This window comes from Homo sapiens, chromosome 10 (genome assembly GCF_000001405.40).
Source record: "Homo sapiens chromosome 10, GRCh38.p14 Primary Assembly".
Lineage (NCBI taxonomy): Eukaryota > Metazoa > Chordata > Mammalia > Primates > Hominidae > Homo > Homo sapiens.
In genome coordinates this window covers 34,501,976-34,524,140 of record NC_000010.11, presented here as the reverse complement: position 1 = coordinate 34,524,140, position 22,165 = coordinate 34,501,976, and the positions used below count along the sequence as shown (strand labels likewise).

The window sequence follows — 22,165 nt, the reverse complement described above, 5'->3', positions numbered from 1 at the left end:
ATGTTGGATAATACACTGTGATAATCTACAAAAGCATGTTAGTGTTTGGTTAGTTTTTCTTTTATGTAAGTGCCACAGGTTATCACGTGTGCTTTATGGGAGACAAGTGTAAATGAAATCTTAAAAAAAAATAAGAGATAGAAAAAGGGGAATTCAGAAACTCAAATACTTGATCTAATTTATAATTTTTTTGGACATCCTTGAGTGAAAGGGCAGAAGAATTTAAATGTATTGGTAGGTATGATCCTAATTATAGAAATCTATAATTTATAAACTATGGAGACGAAAAGTGATTTTTGAATTAGTGATAGTTTAGAATTATACATCATGGAACAGCCTGACTTCAAACTTAAAAAATGCATGTATCTCCAACTCCTTTAGTTTTATTGTTAAGTTTTTGAAATTTATTTCATTATGCTCTAGTTCTCCCATATCTGTTGAATTTTCTTTCTATTCTCTTCTGTTACATTCTTCTTTATAGGCACATCTGCCCATGACATCTCCCTGTCATCTCTCAAACACGCACTTTCTGTGTTGTGCTTCTTGTTGACTAAGCCGCTGGATCTGGCTTGACTCATGGAGGCTGCTCATGTTTCTTAGATGAAGAGAGGGTCATGGAGGCATCTTCAAGTTTATTCTTGTTTCTAGTATTCTCCAACATGTTTTGTACTTTATCCAGGGCCAAAATATGATGCCTTTTTAAAAGAATTATAAGTCTTTATTTCATAGGAAAACAATTGCATATATTGACATTGAGTGTCCAATGACACCCATCATAATTGACTTTCCCTGGATATGTCTAGCTTATACATGAAGAAAGCAATGGAAAGTGAGAGATTGCTCACAGGGTGTCACATTAAAATGGCTTCTCAGGGTGTGTGGAGTTTGAACCTAGAGGTCTTTGAGATTTCACTTAGACTTGGCTTAAATCAGCTTTCATTTTCCTGTATGAGGGTAGAATCTGCAAGTTCTTTGATCCTTTTAAGCCCTCTGTTTAAGACTGAGTGATGGCACCAGCAGGATGAATTGTCTGTGATGATCTTCATTACCCTCAGATATGTTCAGAAAAATTTTAAGTGGTGTCATCAAAATTGCATTAATTTGGTAAAGGCAGGTTATTACGTTTGATTAATCAAAAACGAACAGAATCCTATTCAGAGGTCTGCAGATAATCTTAGTTTGTAGCCTGCCAGTGCCCTGTGCTGTGGATATGTTAGATGCTCCAGAGCAGGAAGATTTGGAGAAAATAGGATCTTTGACTTGATTTCCCATCTCAAATTTATTCTGTATTTATTTATATGCTAGTCAGATTCATCTCTCTGAGGCTCGGCTTTGCTTCCTGTTAAGTGAAATAATAAAAACGACTTTGTGTTTCTGTGGGGCCCTCTAGAGGAGGATGTAGAGCGTCTGTGGAAGGTCTTCATTTTGTGCCATATCTATGTTGAACATGCATTTTCTAGCATGCTGTCTTCTTTCCGTGTTCTTTTTCCCATTACTATTCCTGTGTAGATCCAAGACACAGCGATTGAGCTTTGCATCTGTCTTCTTTACTCTTGAAACTATTCTCATATTTACAAAAGTAGAACGTATTTATCATCCATCACAATATAATTTAATAAAAGCTCATAGTAAACATACTTATTGTGTTCTGGAAGTTGTATACCTTATCTCTTTATTTGTCCTACATCTGGCAGAGCAGGCATAAGTGGCTGAAAACAATGCAAATTCATTACCTGGCAATTCTGCTTGGTAGAAGGCTGACATGGGTCAGAATGCCATAAAATCAGTGTGTTAACCGTGCTCCTTTCTCGAGGCTCTAGGGGAGAATCTATATCCTTGCCTTCTAAATGCTGCTCACTTTCCTTGGCTCATGACTCCCTTTGTTTGTCTTCAAGGTGGGCAGTGTAGTATTTCTCTGGCCATCATCACGTTTCTCTCTGGCCGCAGCCAGGCGTGGCTCTCCATTTTTCCAGACTTATGTAATTAGATGGGGCTCTACCTGGATAATGAAGGATAATCTTTCCATTTTAAGGTTCTTAACCTCCATCCTGTCTGCAAAGTCCCTTTTTCATAGAAGGTAACATTCACTGGTTCCAGGAGTTTGGACATGGATAACTTTGGGGAGACCATTATTCTGTCTACCCACAACCACCATCCTCTTTTCCAAATGAGGAGAGTAAGGTCTGGAGGTGTTAGAGAGGCCACTGGATTTACCAACAGCTACCCAAAAAATAAGGTCAGAGCTGGCTTTGAATGTAGCTTTTTCTGATTCTCCATTGCTGTTAGCCACTTTGCTACATGCAGTTGTGGGCTTTCAGGTCTTAATTTTACCTATTAAAGGGACTTCCCTAGATCCAAGGGTTTTATAAGCATTTCTGTGTGATGTTTCTATAAGAGGTTTTCTGTTGGGGGGTTCTGATGTTTCATAGTTAAAGTGACTTGTCCTGAGGTAGGGGAAAGTGGGTGACAATGTTTAGAGTTTATTTCTACTTGGGCTATTGTAGGTGTTATCCAAATTCTGCCTGTCTTTTCTCATGGAGACTTGATAGATGAATGGAACAGAAGAGAGATTAATAATTATTGCAAGGAAAAAAATGAACATTCAAAATGATCTACTTTGTGGACAGCAGTGAAGATTCCATCTGTTAAATTAGAATTTGAGTAACATTTCACAAATTTAAAAGACTTTTCCTTTACTTTTTGAAGGGCATGATGGAGATTTTTAATACGCAGTTTTTTGTGAAGGTTCCCCCCACCTTTTTTTTTTTTTTTTTTTGCTGTGTTACTATATGCATTCTTATAGAGTAGATTTTCTAAAATTATATATCTTTCCCAGTTTAACACAAAATTATTTCATATTGGGACCTGGCACTTAAATTTTGGTTTAAAAGAAAGCTGTGCAATTGTATGTTATTGGCATATTGCAAATCACCAACTGTGGTTCTATAATGTTTTCTAAAAATGCTGGAGATAATTATTGAAACTAATATATATGTATAAGCTCTTCCATCATGTGGCATTTAAAGACTTATTCTTTGTAATTTTCAATCTCCATTTTCAGTTTGCAGAAAGGACTCGATTCTTGAGAGAACACATCATTGTGAAAAGTTAATAACAAAACATGAATTTCATTTGCTTCCAATTAAGCACCAAAATGTCAAAACTTAATATCTTCAAAATGCATATTAAGCCACACACCTTATGAAAAGTATGATGATATTAAAATCAAGTATAGCAATCCAAAATCTTCATGCAGAGCTTGAAATGAGTATTTTAGTTTTTTGAGGCTACAAAGGTACCTTGACTTTTAGTTTTATTGCTCAAACTGAAACTAAAATTGCATGTTACTAGAAAGATGGGCTGGGTTGTCAAACTAGGGACCATGGGCCAAATTTGGCCTGTTTATTTTATAAATAAAGTTTTATTCAAATGTAGTCACAGTCATTTGTTTTTGTATTGTCTATGGGTGCTCTTTCATACTATAATTAGTGAGTAGAGTAGTTATGAAAGAGACGGTATGGGCCACAGCTCCAAAAATATTTACTGTCTTATTCTTTTCGAGAAAGTTTGCCCATTGACCCCTAATCTAGTGGAATGTCTGTGTCTCTAATACAGGCAGACACTTGCAAGTCACTGTCAGATAAACTGATTTTACTATATATGGATGTTTTGGTGTATACGTATGCATACCTTTCCCTTTTTTTTGTAACTATTAAGGACTTCTTTTCTGATTTATGTTGTTCATTATAAGGTTGAGTGGCCCAATTATTCATCCTACTGTGATTTCTTCATACCAATTACCGTGGTATGGTATGAACCCTGGTACTGGTTCTTCCAGATTGTTTAATCAGCTGATTCTATCTATACGTCAGCAGGTTTCTGAGCTTCCTGTCTCTTTGTGACTGTACAATGGTTTTCTTTGTTGTGTCGATGATAAATGGATTGATGATATATAAATGTTCATGGAAATAGCATTTGTTCCAAACGACAAAGCCATTTATAAAATGAGGACTGTAATTATGAGTCCTACTCATATTCTGTACATTCGCGTTTCTGTTTTTGACCTGAGACAAGTGTTGGCCTTGAAAAAGCTTGGATTGGAGGCAGGAGAGGGGTTTATTTTGGTTCCAGTCATGGTTCTTTTCTTGGAAGGCTAAGCTGAGTTGCTAGGTGTGGGATTGAAGGGTGAAGCTCCAAGGTGGCAGCCAGTGTGGATCCTTAGAAGTTTTTTACTCTTTGGGATTTATTTTCTATTTTTATGTTATGTTATGTTATGTTATGTTATGTTATGTTATGTTATGTTATGTTATGTTATGTTATTTATTTTGAGATGGAGTCTCGCTCTGTTTCCCAGGCTGGAGTGCAGTGGCAGGATCTTGGCTCACTGCACCCTCCGCCTTCTGGGTTCAAGCAGTTCTCCTGCCTCAGTCTCCCGAGTAGCTGGGATTACAGAAGCGTGCCACCACACCTGGCTAATTTTTTATGTTTTTGGTAGAGATGGGTTTCATCATGTTGGCCAGGCTGGTCTTGAACTCCTGAACTCAAATGATCCGCCCGCCTAGGCCTCCCAAAGTGCTGGGATTACAGGCGTGAGCCACCGCGCCTGGCCTACGCTTTGGGATTTATAAGAAGTATATTAGCATTTTAAGAACTGTATTAGTTATAAGAAGACATAGAGTACTTTTTTATTTTTATAGCTTTTTAAAAATATTATAACATTTAAAATTTTTAATTTGAAATAATTTTATACTTCAGAAAACTTGGAATAATAGTTACAGAGTATTTCCATATACACTTCATCTATCCCTAATGTTAACATTTTACATAATCATAGAACAATTATCAAAAGAAAGAAACTCACACTGAGTCAGTACTGTCAACTAATCAGATCTCATTAGAATTCTGCCTATTTTTTCACTAATGCCCTTTTTCTATCCTCCCACTCCATGTAGTTCTCATTCTTCCTCAGACTCCTCCAATTTGCACAATTTCCTCGTTCTCCTTGTTCTTTCTTTTACTTTCATGACCCTTGATACTTTTGGAGAGCCTTATTTATGTTTCAGAATATCCCTCAATTTGGGTTTGTCTGATGTTTCCTCACGATTAGATGGACGTTATACATTTTTGGCAAGAATACCACAAAAGTAATGTTATATACTTCCCAGTGCATTTTATCAGATGGTACTTGATATTGCTGCATCTTACTATGAATGACGTTAACCTGGGTACAGCAGTGGCTGCCAAGTTTCTCCACTTCAACAATATTACTGTTTTGCTTTTTAGTCAAAATGACTCTTCTGGGGAGACATTTTGAGCTATGCAAATATCCTGTTATTATCATATTCACACCCATTAATGTTAGTATCCATTAGTAGATTTTACCTGAACGATTTTTATGGTGGAGGTTGCCTAATGATGATTTCTGTTGCCATCATTCCTTCTATTTATTATTTGGAATGCTACAGCAGGGAACAGCTGTTTATTCTCTACCATTTATTTGTTCAATTATTTATATCATTATGGACTCATGGATTTTAGTTTATTCTTTGGATAATGATCCAATGCCAGTATGATTTCTTTAGTTTGTAAGTTGTCTCCGCTTTGTCCATTGGGAGCCCCTTCAGGTTGACACCTGCTTCCATTTGATGTGCCTTCATCATTTTTGAGTACCCCTTTTTGACATCACAAGGCATTCCAGGCTTACCATGTGTTTCCCTGACCACAGCCCTGAAATCAACCATTTTTCAAGGAGCCCTTGTTCATTAACTGGAGAATGGTATTAGAAACCACGATCTGGGTACTAGGCATGCTCAGTGGCACTGGGGATGCCATTGTTTCTAGGATCTCTGTGTGGACAGAGCTGGGAACTCTTTATACTCACACATTCATTAACATTTATTGATATACTTACCCATTTGTCGGTGTATTTACTTAACTATGTACTTATAAAAACTGTGAGTTTGGCCGGGAGCAGTGGCTCACGCCTGTAATCCCAGCACTTTGGGAGGCTGAGGCGGGCAGAACAGTTGAGGTCAGAAGTTTGAGACTGGCCTGGCCAATATGATGAAACCCTGTCTCTACCAAAAATACAAAAATTATCTGGGTGTGGTGGCATACGCCTGTAATCCCCGCTACTTGGGAGGCTGAGGCAGGAGAATCACTTGAACCCAGGAAGTGGAGGTTGCAGTGAGCCGAAATCGTGCCATTGCATTCCAGCCTGGGCGTCTCAGTGAGTCTCCATCTCAAAACAAAACAAAACAAACAAACAAACAAAAACTGAGCTCATACTGATGTCCTGGATTCCATTCTGAGCACCAGTTTATTCTAGCTTTTTCTTCTCTGTAACTTCTGTTTCTGACTGTGAAAACATCTGCTTTTATTATCAAACATATTTGCACTCTTTTGTTCATTCTTGGTGTGTGTGTGTTTGTGTGTGTGTGGGGGGCGTGTAGTAGAGTAAGAATTGCTAAAGAGAAACAAATTTACTAACTGGAATATTTGTATGACAGGTTTGTCTTTAGCATGTATCTTATGCACAAATGAGAAGATACATGTTTAGTTTTTAATATCCCCTTTTTATGTGAATAGTAGTTCATACCATGTGTGTATACACACACACAGATATATATGTATACTCATATATATACACACTTTTGCATTTTTCTTTTCCATTTAAATATCCTATATTTTTAAGAAGATTTATATCTGTCCCTGACTTAGCATGCTGTGATAGCAAACAATTTTATTATTTTTTCACCCATAGACTTTTGAATGTGAAATGTACGACTTAGAATTATACAAGTAAAGCATCAAAATTTAGGGAAACACTGTTTCTTTGAGGTTTTTCTTCGTAAAACTTACCATTCTAGGGTCATTTATATCAGTATTTTTGCACTGTAGAATTATGTCAAAATAGTACAAAATTTTGGTAGTTAATTAAGTGCCTTTATTTATAAGTGCACATTTACCTTTCATTTCTAGCTGGTAGCAGTGTTTGATGAGCAGGATCCACATCACGGAGGTGATGGCACCAGTGCCAGTTCCACGGGTACCCAGAGCCCAGAGATATTTGGTAGTGAGCTTGGCACCAACAATGTCTCAGCCTTTCAGCCTTACCAAGCAACAAGTGAAATTGAGGTCACACCTTCAGTCCTTCGAGCAAGTAAGTGAAAGCTCTTTCTTCTCTTCCATTTCATCTTAATTTACAGGAATACCAACTTTTGTTATTCATCCATGACCCTGTAAATGGAATTAATTATCTGTTTTATTCAAAAATTAAGTTTAGGACCCAGGCAAATGTTCTTTGCAAGAGAAGTAGGCAGTTCTTTACATTGTAATAGATTAGGCTTTCTTTACTTTCGACTAGTAGACTTTCCGTGACTCGCTAACTGTAAATAAGGACAATAGTTCAAGTTAAATTATTTGGATTTTCCTTTCCATATGTTTATCTGAATGCTAGAACAAGTAGAAATGACCAAAGAGCTTTGCACTGAAACAAAACGTAGCATCATTCATTACAGTCAACTCTGTTACAACCGTCATTTATATTATTTGAACTTTATCTGAAGAGCTGGGGAAGAAGAGACCGCCGTGTCAAAGTTATCTTCAGGGATTTGGGAGAGCAGTGATTAGAATACCTCCTTAGGGAAGGGGAATATGGACATAGTGAGTCCTATATGAGGAATCCTAGGACCCTGGGTATTCCAGATCTGGGATACTTGCCTGAAGAGTTCTGTTAGCCATTCTTGGAAGGTACTCATAAAAGTCAGGTATTTTTGCTACAAATATTTAGTGTTTATAGTTGTATAATCTTGTAATTGAGCAGTTGTTAAGAGAAGATCAATTTCAATAAATGTGTAAGGTTAAAAGATTTTTTGGCTGGGCGGGGTGGCTTATGCCTATAATCCCAGCACTTTGGGAGGCTGAGGTGGGCGGATCACCTGAGGTCAGGAGTTTGAGATCAGCCTGGCCGACATGGTGAAACCCCATCTCTACTAAAAATACAAAAATTAGCCAGGCGTGGTGGCGGTTGCCTGTAATCCCAGCTACTTGGGAGGCTGAAACAGGAGAATTGCTTGAACGATTGGAGGTTGGAGATGGAGGTTGCAGTGAACCGAGATTGTGCCACTGCACTCCAGCCTGGGCAACAGAGTGAGAGAAAAAAAAAAGGATTATTTATTTTTTAGGTACATCTATTTGGAAACACTTCAGTTTTTTTCAGGTAGAAAATTTGGGTCTTACGTGTCTTTACTGATTGGTAGTCTTCAGTAGATATTTATAAACAGATGGGTAATAATATGTGTTAATAAAATATATATATAATTAAGATACAGAATATAGGTAGATAATATTTAGAATATATAATTTATTCTTCTAAAAATGCATCCTAATTCCCTTTTTTTGCATTGATAGCAATCTGTAGTAATTTGGCAATTTGCTTCTAGATGTTTACAAACTACTTCTGCTTCTCTTGTCCCTTGAAGGTGTATATAAAGAGAACAAGGAAAGAAGAGCAGTTTAACAGTTAGAGATCTGTTAGCCCATCAGAACCCACAGGACAATGCGCCATACAGAGTGTAGAGAATTTAGAAGGTGTAGTTCAAGATGGGATACGTAAGTGATGCTCTAGAGGATTGCGTGCAGCTACAGACCAGTGCTAACCACTTCCTACAATTGCTTTCTATCATCCAGACAAGATCGGACTCAGATACAATGACAGATGTTTCCAAGGATACTTGGGGTGGAACAGAACCTATAAGTTGTTTTAGTTGAATATTTTTTATATGCAAGAGATTTAGCTTTATTTATGCACATATGCAAGAAACTAATTTTGTGAAAATAATTTTGTTGACTACTAGGATATACTGTTTAAAAATTCTTACATTAGATTTGCTTTGGGCAGTGTTTTTCAAAAGGTGAGGCATGTACCATACAGCGTATACAAAATGATGTGCAGGTGGTACACTAGTTACCCTGGTTGATTTTTTATTAGTTCATTAAGCCTACGACTTAGTGGATATCTGCTTGGAATGATCCTGTGTATACAATGTAGACTGCCTAAATTTGACTCATGGAAAATTTAAATAGTAGTTCAGGTATTCAGATACCAGAAGTTTGGAAAATAGTGTCTTTATTTGAGTAATAACACTGTAATGTGTATACTTAAATACAGAACTTTCTGTTGTGTTACCGTTGTAGTGTTGTACTTGTATCTTTTCTAAAGCAATTTGTAGCTTTAATATAGCCACACCATAAAAAATATTAGAAGAAAGGTTAATTTCTTTATGTTGATTTATGAATTTGATTAACATACTTTCCGTCAATTTTTACCTTTTGACTCCTCTGGACTCAACAAAATTTCTAACACATAACCATCCACATTTGACTGGCCTTATGTGTTAAAATTTAAATGGTGTTTTAAACCCCAAATATCTCTTTTTATCTTGTTTTTATTGAGAAAAAGAAGTTACATTTGAAGCATATGTGTTGTCTTGCAGCCACCAGTGGGAGAATATGCAAATCTTATTTTCTTGTTCTCATTTTGGTATGCTAAGGTTTAGATTTTCAGATCTTGGCAGGCATTGGGTTAAGCATCTACTATACACAGGTCCATAACTATGTGAACGTAATGCATCACACATGAGTCACCTGTCAAGGTGATTTTTGCCACCGCATTAATGACGTTCATTCAGACATAGAAGATGAATTTGTCCATACTGGCCATGCCTTGTGCTAGGTGGTGAGTCCTGGGTTGAGTTAATAAGGCCTGGCGCTTGCTATCAAGGAGCTATAGTTAGTAGTAAATGGTAGTCTAACTATTTACAGATATGAAAAGAAAGAAGCCAACAATATGTAGAGATTTGCTTAATTGAAGATAAATAAATTTCTAATTTTTGCCTTAAAGAAGGAGTGGTCACTTTCCTGTGTTTTCCAATGAATGAATTCACTCATCCCCTTTATTCCATAAAGAATTGGTGGAAGTTGAGAAAAATATATAGAGTATGTATTTTTTTCCATAGAAAAATGGATACGAAGTTTGGGTATTAAGATAAAGCCTAGATGGTTTTCATAGATGGAATTCTCATCTTGAGGTCTTTTTATGTTTCCCTAGAAGCTGCCATTAATTTAGCCCTGAGCTTTTTTTTGTAGAAAATACAGAGAGAACTCTGATTTAGTTAATCATTGCTCCTCAACCTCAGAAGTGTTTTCTCCCCAAGGAACATTTATCAGTGTCTGATGATATTTTTGGTTGTGACAACTGGTGGAGTTGGGCATTGAGTAGAGGTCAAGGACACTGGTACATACCTTACAAGCACAGGACAATCCGACATCAGAGAACTCTGCAGCCCAGATGTCAGTAGTGCCACGGTTAGAAACCCTGAATTAAATACATCATTGTTTGTATAGTCAAAATAGCAGTTAACTTAAAACTTGAGAAACATTTTGTTGATTCCAGTATATTGAACAGTATCCTGAATAACACTCTTAAACTAGAAGACAAACATGTGATTACTAGTTAATAAAAATGTAAGAAATGAGAAAGTTAAGTAAGATAATCCAGGCTGGGTGCGGTGGCTCACACCTGTAATCCCAGCACTTTGGAAGGCCAAGGTGGGCGAATCATGATGTCAGGAGTTCGAGACCAGCCTGGCCAACATGGTGAAACCCTGTCTCTACCAAAAATACAAAAAAATTACCTGGGCGTGGTGGCACACGCCTGTAGTCCCAGCTACTCGGAAGGCTGAGGCATGGAGAATCTCTTGAACCCGGGAGGTGGAGGTTGCAGTGAGCCGAGATCATGCCCTTGCACTCCAGCCTGGGCGGCAGAATGAGACTCTGGCTCCAAACAAACCAACTAACCAACCTATGGAGAAGGGAGAGAATAGGATGGAGGAAGTAAAATAGAAACTAGATGCATACTATTTCCTTCTGTATATTTGAGGTTGGAACTATATTATCTTTTACACAATTATAAAATGATCAATTTTTAATTTTTACAGTAAACATTTCAAATGAATATTAATATTCATACACTTAATAAATTTTAATTTTAAAGACAAAAAATGAGTATGAAATATCTGACCATAAATATATTTTTTTGGTAGCCTAAACATAACAAGAGTAACTATTTCAATTAACTTTAAATCAAAGGAATTTGTACAAAGGGAGATGTATCCTAAGGAAAAAAAGAACTGCCTAATGACAAGGACCCGGAAACTGTTTGTCGTTGGTATTGTTAATCTTAGATTTTTGGGTGGGTATTACAGGATGAAAGAGATGGGAAATTATAATATTCTAATTTTGTCATTCCTGGTGTCATTGAGTACCCAGTATTCTTAGTATAGAAGAAAAAGTGTACAGATATAAGTTAAAGGAGAATGAACAAAAAATGGATAGTCCTCAGTTTAGACATGTCATAGTTAATTCCTGATATGTTTTAGTTTTTAAAAAAGGAACGTGGAGGGAAGAAAAACTCCTGTGTATATTCACAGAAAAGGTCTAGAATCAATGACCAACCCAGTAACTCAGCATTTCTCAATCCAGACTATGCTCTGGAAATAGCATTTTTCATTTGAGGGGATCAGAGCTTCTTAGAGAAATGCCTGAATGCAAGCCTGTACAGGAAATGTATGGGATCATCCTGGATCATCCTGTCATATCAGAAAATAGGGCAGTTATGAAAGATTACTAGGGTGGGCCAGAGGGCCTAGGAGACAACACGATGCTCCTGCTGGCCAAAGACGGGACAGTGGGAGCATCAATACAGATAGCAACAGCAATACATGCATGAGTGTATAATGATAATAAAGAAGCCAGCAAGCAAGGAGAAGGCTACCAGTGAGCCATCTTATTATTTGGAAACCTTATAAAGGAAAGCAGGAATAAGTCATCTATTCTGCGTTTCCTTGTAGTGTGGTTTCACGGGATATCCAAATACTTGCTTTTTATGTAAGTATTTCAGCTAATAAATGAAGACATAATGGTAGCATTGGAATATTACTATTCTGCAACTTCTGATGACATAATGGATCTAGGTACTGATCATTGCTAGGCTCTTAATGTGTCCCCCCAAATTTACATGTTGGAAATGTAATCCCTAGTACAACAGTGTTGGGAGGTGTGGCCTAATGGGAGGTGTTCAGGTCATAAAGTTGCTTATTATTTGGAAAACTGTTCAAAGAAAGATAAAATTAACAGCCCGGGCTGGTAATTTATAAAGGACCTTGTCTCTATTAAAAATCAAAATATTAGGTGGGCATGGTGGTGTGTGACTGCACTCGCTGTGGCTCGGGAGGCTGAGGCAGGAGGATTTCTTGAGCCTGGGAGATCAAGGTTACAGTGAACTGTGATTGTCCACTGCACACCAGACTGAGTGACAGAGGGAGAGTCTGTCACAAAGAAAAAAAGAAATCTATTCTGTGTATCCTTTGTATGAGTGGTATCACTGTATAACCAAATAGTAGATGAAGAGGAAATCACTTTGTATATATGTATTAAAAATTACTTCTTAGTATAAAAAGAAGAGTTTAGCATAAAAATAGCTTAGTATAAAAAGAGCTTGAAGTACTGGGGTTACTCTGTCGCTTTGTCATGTGAGGATGCTGCATTCATTCTCTTTCCCTTCCACCTTCCTACATGTGAGGATGCAGTAAGAAGGTCCTCTCCAGATGCCAGCCCCTTGATCTTGGACCTCTTGGGCTCCGGGACTGTGAGAGAGTACATTTCTGTTCTTTATAAATTACCAGTGTCAGGTACTCTGTTAGAGCAGGACAAAATGAACTAAGACAGTCACCATTAAAAAATAATAATCAAGGAGAGACAACCAAACATTGTATGCCTCCTGATGAAAAAAACACAACATCTCCTATAAGGTAGTCTTGACAAAAGAAATTAATCATGAATCTGATCAGACTTCTAAATCCAAGTGCCTATTTACAGGAAATACAGAACCCTGAGAAGCATGTGAACACGATAGGGGTGCAATCAGCCTAGTCAAGATGGTGGGAAACTGTGTAAGACAAATGGCCCACGTTCTTCAATAAAATCAACTGCAGGGGCAGAAAGAGATGGAGAGGGAATTTATAAGTTATTAGAAACTTTTAAGAGATGTAACATCCAATCATAATGTCTGGATCTTATTTAAATCCTGATTTAAATGAGGCTTAATACAAAGAATGACATTTGTATGCTGATGAATAAAACACAAATTGGGCATTTAATAGTAAGGAATTATTTAGATGCAATAAGGTTATTGAAATTATTTTTAAAAGAACCTTTACCTTTTAGTAGTATGTAATGAGTTATTTATGATTAATACAATATCTCTAGAATTTTCTTCAGAATAGTACAGGCTAGGGGATGGGTTACCTAAAGATTCAGTATACTATTCTGTCTACTTCTATATGTTGGTTCAAAATTATCCTTAATAAAGGTACTTTAAAAAAAAATAAAGGAAACACACACTCAAGGCACTTCTTAGTAGTTTGAAGGTTTATTTAATTACTTTTCTCTTTGAACTTTTTTCCCCCACTCCATATAGCACCGAATTTTAACCTAATCTTTTTTAGGCTTGAATATTTTTATTGGTCATCTTATTTCTTTGCAACAAACAAAGTACATTAAAATTTTAAATATAGTACTGTGTGATTATTAATATATAATAGATCAAAATAGCACAAATATACAAATATGTAACGTTTTGCTTTTTAATGTGGAAATAAGTGAAGACCATCCAAATGAGAACAGGTGAAGGCTATTTATTCAGAGCTTGCTGTAGTTAGGGGGCAGCTATCATGGCTTGCCTTTGACGGAGGCTCCCAGGCAGGCTGAGGAGTGGGAATGCTTTTGCATGGAGAAATGGGAAGGCTTGAGTGTGCTCTGATTGGAAACTGCTGGCATGAGGTAGCTGCAGGTGGGCTACCTAGAAGAGGGGCATATATGGTGTGATTGCTTAGAATTTCATATTTGGCTTTCTCTGGTTGTTCCTACGTTGGAAGGAGAGTCAGAACTTAGGGAGTAAATGGAGTTTTGTTACATCAGTATTACTCAATTCTTCTAATTCCCTCCAAGTTAAATGCTAAACACCAATTAGTGATCCTTTGTCAGAAATTATTTTTATAGATATATCAATGAGCTGAAAACTGGCTTATGATATCCTTCTTTTTTGTTGAAAGGAGGGATCTAGAAACTAGTTGAGTGGCAAAAGTGTTTGTTATCCAGAGGGATTTATGTTCTCAGCCTTGTGGCTGCTGTATTAAACTGTGCTTTGTCATCCTGGAAGTTTTTATGCACAGTTGTACATCAATTGTAAGATTCAGGACAGGTGATGCTTTTTTTTTGTTGTTTTGTCATTTTTTCGATGCGTGTGTTTGTTGTTTGTTTTTTAATTTTGCAAAGCAGAAGAGCTATTCAGGACACTATCATGACTTTCCTGGACTCTGGGCGCTTTGGCCATCATGGGCCGCCCTCACCATAGTAATATCAGTCATAAAATTATATTTTATTTAACTTTAAATATTTCAGTATTGTACTTTTTCCATTTTATGCATCATTGAATTGATTTTCATGGTTCCTAAGAGTATCATTTTCTTCTGATATGAGAAAAAAGTGAAAACATTTTCTTTGACTCTAAAAATTTGTTTTTCTGTTTTGATTTTAAAGGAAAATAAAACACTATCCTGGGCTTCTAAACTTATTGTGGCCCTGGACACTGCCTCATGGACATACTGGCTTTGGGGCTGTTGACCATGGAGAATTGGATGGGAAGAAACCACATTACACCTTGACCCCCTTGTTTTCAGGCTCGTAGAACCTTTTTAGGGAATGATGCATATTGAACACGAAGAGCTTGACATGGGATACCTTAAAATGTATCTCTCGGAAGGTCTTTGCATGCTCCCAGGTAGATGCATGTTCTGCTCTGAAGGAAACTGGTTACTAGATATTCTACATAACTGTTGGGGTTTTTTTCCCCACCCAGATTTTGATAAGTTTGAGTGTATATTATACTTTATGGGAGTATATTCTACTTATGCTTTCAACATGAGCTTGTTATGCAGATACTCCTTTGTAATATAGAGTGTTTACATTTCAGAAAGAGTACAGGAAAGAGAGTCACACCATCTTGGACACTGGGCAAGGTTAGTAGGTAATTACACTGGTCGCCTCTTTGAGTACCTGCCTCAGGATGGTTTTGTATAGTAATGAGATAATGTTCACAGTTCTAATGCAGCCTGTGACACAGGAGAAGCACTAGACTAACAGATAGTTGTGGAATGGTGTGCGCGATCATGTCTCCTGAGTGCAGATCCACTTCCTGGGGATGTGTAAAGAGGTTGAGACGTTACTCAGCCCAAGTAACTAGGACATGTATTCTGGAATGGGACACTACTGGCCCCTTAGGTAGATGGAGTGGAACTTTTACAGAGTCAAATTGGAACCATGTCTGTGATATACATTTAACTGTCTTTATTTTCAATATTAACAAATCAGGCTTAGATCTGAAGCTTTCAGGGTCACACAGTTCAGGTGCAAATCATTGAGTCCAAGGCTGGTGATATTTTGTGTATGACTTTTTCACTCTATGATTTTTTTTTTCCTTCAGTTCCCAAGGACTTTTTGTAGAAGTCAGATATTTGAGGGTAGCCCAGGTTTAGGTCATGGCTAGATTCCTTTTACCTCACAATTCAAATTTTTAAATATCTCCTCTGGAAGATCTAGACTGAAGAATGAAGTTTCCTTTGAAAATGATGTAAGCCCGAGGAATGGTGAAATTTCTGGAAATGGTGTTGCTATAAAAATTTGGGGAAACAAAGTATCTGATTTATTTCATTTCTTTTTTTGCTGCCTTTTAAATCTTTTGTTATTTTTAACTTTTTATTAGCTATGTTAATTTTAGTTAATTTTTATCCATTACTTGGGAAATTTGTCTGAAATGATGGTATTTAATTAACTGATAAGATTTTACTATCTTCCTAACATTTAGACCTTAAAGAAATATCAATAATTGTTATAGAAAGCTTGTACCTAAGTTAGTGCCCCCTCCCACTTCTTGATTTCTTAATTTTTTTTCTTAGCAAGCATATACAGATTGATTTTGTCTTTCTAGAATATCCAACACCTTTGGTATAGAGATCTGTCCTTCTAACATTTGCTGGTATCAGAGTACTATTTTCTGGATCTGATGTAAGTACATATTGCAAATAGAAATAATATTCCTATTGTATTTCCTTTTAACTTGTGAAGTGGAGCATGGCATACAAATGGTATTCTCAGTATTTCAAATAATTACCTTCTTACTGTGCAAGTTCTATTCAGCATATAAAACCCATCCAGTTTTGTTGTAGATGCAATCTGATTATTACATGTTGACAAGGTCATATATCTATTAATTGGATTGGAGATGGGATACAAAATTGCTGTAATTATTGTAATTTTCTAGCTAATTGCAGGGTTGGTGGTGAATATTTTACTTCTGCAAAATGAAAAACAGTATTCCATCAGAAGTTGTTTTATGGGGTTTCAGACATTTTGTTTTATATCTTTGGTGCTTTTTGCCCACAAAGTATCTCCTTTTTTGTTTTTTTTTTTTTGTTTTTTTAATTGATCTGAATGTCACAGTGCTCATTGGCAGGGATCGGCAAAATCAGGCACAGGCAGAGAGCTGAGTAGTACTCTCAGCTACCTCTTTGTTCCCGTTGCCACGTTACCTCTATTGTTTATTTATAAATTGGAGTACTCTTTTTTCTGACCTGTAACAAAGGTTGGAGGGGTCAGAGCCAATTGGAAGAGGATCCTCTGCCCTCTTGTCCCCTGCACCCCACTCAGAAATACTCTCTTAAGATGAGCATTTAAGAAATTAAGTTTATATGGTTTATGTGTTCTTTTTTGCATTAAAAAATTAAGTAAATTATTGGTCATCTTAGTATTTGTAATACAGGGCTTACTTTGCATATTCTCCCGTAGTTTTGGTTAGAAAACTGGGAGCTGTATTGGCATTTAAAAATAATGGTGTATATGCAAGATGTGTTTGGAGGGTTGCAGATCAGGGACACTGTGCTACTGTGGGGTGTTGGAAGCTCACTGCAGAAGATGGTAAAAGCAGACTGATGTGTATTCCCTGCTGAAAGATAAACTGGAGGCGCAGGTGAAAATTGCCAAACCTAATGAGCAATTTGGCGGATAAGACAGGCTGTCAGGCGGCGGCAGTGCAGCAGCAGGAGCACTGTGAATCAACTTGTGTGTTCCAGAGAACTATATTTAAATAACACCAATAAAATCTTCTTTTTCACTGATATTTGCAATCACAATGAAATTTACTTTATCCTTCAGATTTCCAATTAAATGGCCATTAACATGGTGATTTTTGTTGTAAAATTATTTTTTAATTTGCCTGTTGACATTTTTCATCCATAAAACACGAACAAGATATATTTTCCATACCTAGAGACATAAGTAATATTAGGTTTTCTAACACATTAATAACATGTAAGTGATCACCTCGGTGGACTGAAACATTTCATCTGTGGACTTGACAGTGGAGCAGACTTAGATAACATTATACTCTCTTCAGTGTATCATGTCATTTATATCTGCTTGCGTTGCCCGGGAATTCTTTGCTCCCATTGGGCTCATGAAAATTGAGACATGTGCATGACTTCTCCCCATTGAGGCCATCAATATATTGTATAGGAGAGACTTAGAAAAGATTTTCATAAATGTGTTGGGTGCAACAGCTCCTTAGGAAACTTCCCAGTTCACCTTCCTGATGTTTACCATTTGGAAATTGAGGCTTGATGTAAAATAATAACATATTCTGTACTCATGGCATAACTGAAGCCCAGGTCTCCAAATTCAGGACAAGCAGAGGTATTGCTGAAAATGTATGAGTACTTATTACCCCTCAAGATCTGTGGCATTTCCAAACTCCTGACTTTGGTGGGGCCCAAGCATCTTTGCAGTTCCTATCTGTTATGTCATCAGTATTTCTTTTTTCTTTTCTCTTTTTTTTCCTTTTTGATGGAGTCTCCCTCTGTTGCCCAGGCTGGAGTGCAGTGGTGCCATCTCGGCTCACCGCGACTTCCACCTCCTGGGTTCAAGTGATTCTCCTGCCTCAGCCTCTCCAGTAGCTGGGATTACAGGCACCTGCCACAATTCCCGGCTGATTTTTGTATTTTTAGTAGCAATGGGCTTTCATGATGTTGGCTAGGCTGGCCTCGAACTCCTGACCTCAAGCCTGCCTCAGCTTCCCAAAGTGCTGGGATTATAAGCGTGAGCTACCACATGCAGCCTGGCATCAGTATTTCTAAGTTGTCTTTAAGCAGAATAAACATTTGGCCCATATATTTAATTGCATCTCTGTGATGCCTGAAATTAAAAATCATTACACATATGTAATATAATATTTTACACTTTATAATAGTAACTGGTGCAGTCCATTGGCCAGGGAAGTATTATTTTTTAGAGATATCCTGCCCCATGTCATCAGATGTAGACATTGGCCTGGCATTCATCTGGAAAGGCTTGCCTGTTGGGGGTCCACAGGGCTGCCTGTAGGGTGTCCACAGAGCCTTGACATGTGGCCCGTTAGGATGGCGTGAGTCACAGATTTCACCAGAATTTGCCTTTGAAATTAGACCCAAACCATGTGCTACTGGACCCCCTGTGCACAAAGCTCTCTGTATCATTCAAAACCTGATGAAATCTTAGGGAAGAACAGGTTTACACATTCATTTTTTCCCACACAAAAGATTTCCCCACTGCCCAATTCTTCCCTCTTCACTTCCTTTTACCCTTGACTATTATATTTGACTTGACTCTGAGGTCTTGCCTGGTACTGTTACCTTTGCATGAGAATAAGCCTTATTTGCCTAATTATGTTACCTGTTTATCGGAAGCAGAAATAGTTACTTACACTTGAAAATTTGTAATGGGAATGTAGCTGTGAATATGTTAAGAAAGCCTGTTTAAATCAAAGCAAGAAATCCCATTTCCAAATGGTAGTAAGACGTGTGTTACATGGAGAAAATAATTGCCTGAAAGTGTTTGTTGTATTTGCCAAGATTAGATTGTACACTGGTCAATAAACAAGAGTTCTTTTTTTTTGTTTTTATCTTTCAATCCAACCAGGTACTTGGGTTCGTTTTTCTGTTGGTGCATGTCACACAGAGACCCATATTGTGGATTATTTTGTCAGCATGAAAGCCTGGCAGATACAATTCTTTCCCCTCTTCTCGCTGCACTTGATATAGATCTCTCCTTTACTTCTTGATAATACGTTTGCTTATTTATTTGTTCGTTGCTTTTAGTGTCAGCAGTGGCTTTGTGTCCTCAGTTCTGTTTGCTCCTGCCTGGCTCCTCTACCCAGCTGGAGAGGTGCCTCATATCTCAGAATTTCTGAGTCACTCCCAATCAGTGACTCCTTTCTTTTTCAGTGACTAAGAGAAAGCTGCCCACAAGCCAGCAAGGTGCTGATAAGTGTGCCTCTGAGATTCTCACCTCTAACTTTTCCATGGAATGGACAGCTGGTAGTCTCTCTCTGGGCTACATTTTAAAGGAAAAAAAGAAGTCTAAATCAGTTTATTAATTCATGGTGTTATTTTGTGTTTACTCAATTTATTTATATTGATTGGTAAATTAGTAATTTACAAACTATTATTTGTCAATTTATTGCCTACATATCAACAAATACTTTTCTTTTTTTTTTTTTTTTAATCTTGGGGACAAGCACATTGGCTCAGCCTGTAATCTCAGCACTGTGGGAGGCAGACGTGGGAGGACCACTTGAGGCCAGGAGTTCAAGACCAGCATGGGCACCATAGTAAGATCCAGTCTCTACAAAAAGAGTAAAAAATACAAATAGCTGTACCTGGTGGCTCACAGCTACTCAGGAGGCCAAGGCAAGTGGCTCGTTTGAACCAAGGAGTTCGGGCTGCAGTGAGCTGTGATCATACCACTGCATTGTAGCCTAGGTGGCAGAGTGAGACCCCATCTCTTAAAAAAAAAAATCTGGGGGCTCCAGTGTGTATACTGCATGGCTTGTGAATGTGGAAGTGCAGTGAGCATGGTTTTGCTCAAGAATGGGTTGATGATAGCACTTTCCCAGAGTAAAGCTCGTTTTTATAAAATCTTCATGTCTCAGAACTGATCCCTGCTTTAACTACTTTTCTCACTGGCATTTGAAAGCAGTTAACCAGATATGAAATGAATGATTTTCATAACTCTATAAAAGGAGCATTATGACATCATCTACTATTTCTCCTTTCTTGTTCTCATAAATCCAAACCATCAACCTGTTTATTCTTGTGTACTGGCACACTGTGTATTCCCAGCATAGAATGCCTTTCTACCTATGTTCTCTCTAAAACTTGTGGAAAGTTTTCTGCACCTTAAATTTTCTACCCTAGGGATTAAACAGCCGCTATAAGTCACTTTCCCACTCCTCCTCACAGAGGAAAGGATGAATATGTAATAGCCATCACAGCAGCCTGTTGTCTATCCTGCGGTGTGTTTCTACCATATCACACAAAGCCTCTTTTTCTTGTCTTTTTAGTAGTACTTTGGTAGTAATTTTTTTAAAAAGTATGTAATGTCTGTATATACAAATACATATATACGTAGGCACACACAGAGCTGATATTTAGTGAGGTTATATATGGAAGGATTATAGGAATAGCATGTAATTTAAGAATAAATTATCTTTTAAAGATAGATCCCATGTTTAAGATGAGAAAATACAGTTAGATCAGTTAGGGATGCCTCTGCCCAACCATAATATGGAAAAAGTGTAAGCAAAGGGCATTTTAGTGAACTGCTAGGGTACTCAACCTATCATCACATTTAATTAAAATGTCATTTTGAGCCATGGCCGACTCATTCGTTAATTTGTTATTTAAAACAGCTTGAGAAGTATTTATTTTAAATACAGAATTTGTGTTAATGAATTGGAAAAGAATATTGTATTGCTTGGCAGAGATGTTATAGCCTAATGATTTGTGGCTTAGAACAAGGAAAACCAGCTGGTGATCAGTTTGTCTAAGTAGTACATGAGTATCTACTAATATTTGATAATAGCCAATTTTTTTTAATAACCAGAATAAGGGAGTTGGGAATGGGAGGCAGAAACAAGGACACTGAGGCATAAAACTGCATTTAATTCTGAGTATGGGTCTGTGATCCATGGTTCAGTTGGATCCCTTATGAGGAGAGGGAGGAAAGCCAGCTGGGCAGAGATATGCATGGGCCTGTGTCTGTGCTTCTGCCAGAAAAGAAGTCACCAGCTCTGCCTTCCTCACTTCTCCCCCTTGTCTAAGATCTGTCCTTCTCTTTTCTTCAAAAGTGGGAAATTAGTTTAATCAAAGTTGTTGTTTTTTGTTTTTGTTTTTTTTGAGATGGGATCCTGCTATGTTGCCCATACTCAAGTAATCCTCTCTCTGAGCCTCCCCAGTAGCTGGGACTATAGGTAGTCACCACCACACCTAGCCAAGTCTAATGTATAGTTTATTTTTTCCAATTTTGGAAAGCAGGGTATATGTAGTTCTGAGTGTCTGTGTGTGTGTGTCTATATATCGCTACACACACAATTAGTACTAGTCTATTCTTGCTATAACAAATCATCATCATGTTAGGGCTTAAGAGTTTATTACAGTCCTGCATGTCAGAGTCTGGTGTGGATCTCACTGGGCTGAAATCCAGGGTTGGCAGTGCTGCCTTCCTGCGGGAGGCTCTAGGTGAGAATCTGTTTTCTTGCCTTCTCCAGATTCTGGAGTCCACTTGCCTTCCTTCGTGTATGGCCCTTCCTCCATCTCTAGCATTATCAACCTTGTACCTTGTGGACCCTTCTTCTATGGTTACATCTCTCTCTGACTCTTCCGTTCTGACCTTCTCTTCCACGTTTAAGACTCATGTGACTACATAGTCTTGAATTGAGTGAGACTCAGGATCATCCAAATGAGCCCACTGTCTAAGTCCATTCAGGCTGCTTCAACAGAATACCTTAGACTGGGTGGCTGATAAACAACCAAACCTCATTTCTCATGTCCTACAGGCTGCGAGTGCAAGATCAAGGTGCCAGCAGTTTTGGTGTCTAGTGAAGGCTTGCCTTCTCATAGATCTTTACTTCTCAATATGTCTTTACATGGTGGGAGGAGCAAACAAGCTCTATTGG

General features: G+C 37.6%; 1 protein-coding gene across 11 annotated transcripts in view; it reads left to right on the top strand.

The window, feature by feature from the left end:
• Nucleotides 1–22,165, top strand: part of PARD3 (par-3 family cell polarity regulator) — a 705,736-nt gene that overhangs the window by 291,156 nt on the left and 392,415 nt on the right. For all 11 annotated transcript variants that reach the window (NM_001184790.2, NM_001184791.2, NM_001184789.2 and 8 more), the window contains exon 3: nt 6,982–7,162. In NM_001184790.2, the coding sequence (NP_001171719.1) occupies nt 6,982–7,162 (181 nt within the window). The remainder of the gene's footprint in view (nt 1–6,981; nt 7,163–22,165) is intronic.